At 44.2% G+C, this 650-nt stretch overlaps 1 annotated feature.

Annotated features, from left to right (window-relative positions):
• Positions 377-436: an enhancer, noted in NCBI's record as "active region_5274". NCBI's record gives its function as "activates an Ori minimal core promoter by ATAC-STARR-seq in GM12878 lymphoblastoid cells {active_cell/tissue: GM12878}" and the evidence as "EXISTENCE:reporter gene assay evidence [ECO:0000049][PMID:35858748]".

Raw genomic sequence — 650 nt, 5'->3', positions numbered from 1 at the left:
TTACAATCTTTAGTGTGCAGTTTCTGTCTTCAAGTTCATCCCAGTGGGTGGGGAGAGGTCCCCAAACACCTGTGGGACTGCGGCCCCAGCCAGTGTCCACGTTCTTGACACCGTCGAGAGAATGAATTCAAGGACAAGCAAGAAAATAGTGAAAGTACAGAGATTTATTGCAAAGCAAATAGTACATACTCAAGAAAGGGGAGTGTGGGTGTACTCAAGCGAGTCACACAGTGGAGTTTGGGGTTTCCACCTTTATGGGTTTCTTTAACCAGGGGGTGGAATATTCATGAAAATTCCTGGAAAAAGGTGAAGATTTCTCAGAATTGTAGTGCCACCCATTTTTACACCAAATATGGGTGTTCCTGAAACTGTCATGGGGCTGGTGCGAGTGTGATGTGTATGTTAATGAATGCATAATGAGGTCCTAAGTGAAACCTAGGTCAAATCCAGCACCATGTTGTGTCCGGTTGGTCTTAGCCAGCTTGGTCCAAAACTTTGGTTTTCAGAGTCTTGTCAATCCCTAGCTTCTGTAGCTATTTCAAGTTTTCTTTTGCTAGTCATGTAAAACTGCTGCCTGGAATTTTCTATTCTCCTGTGACCACCCTGTATTATTCCTGTGTCAAAGCTTGTGACCTCATGGTGACAAAAGG

The sequence above is a fragment of the Homo sapiens genome, chromosome 11 (genome assembly GCF_000001405.40).
Source record: "Homo sapiens chromosome 11, GRCh38.p14 Primary Assembly".
In the NCBI taxonomy this organism is placed as follows: Eukaryota; Metazoa; Chordata; class Mammalia; order Primates; family Hominidae; genus Homo; species Homo sapiens.
Note: the sequence above shows the minus strand (reverse complement) of the source record. Positions and strands in the feature narration are given on the sequence as shown.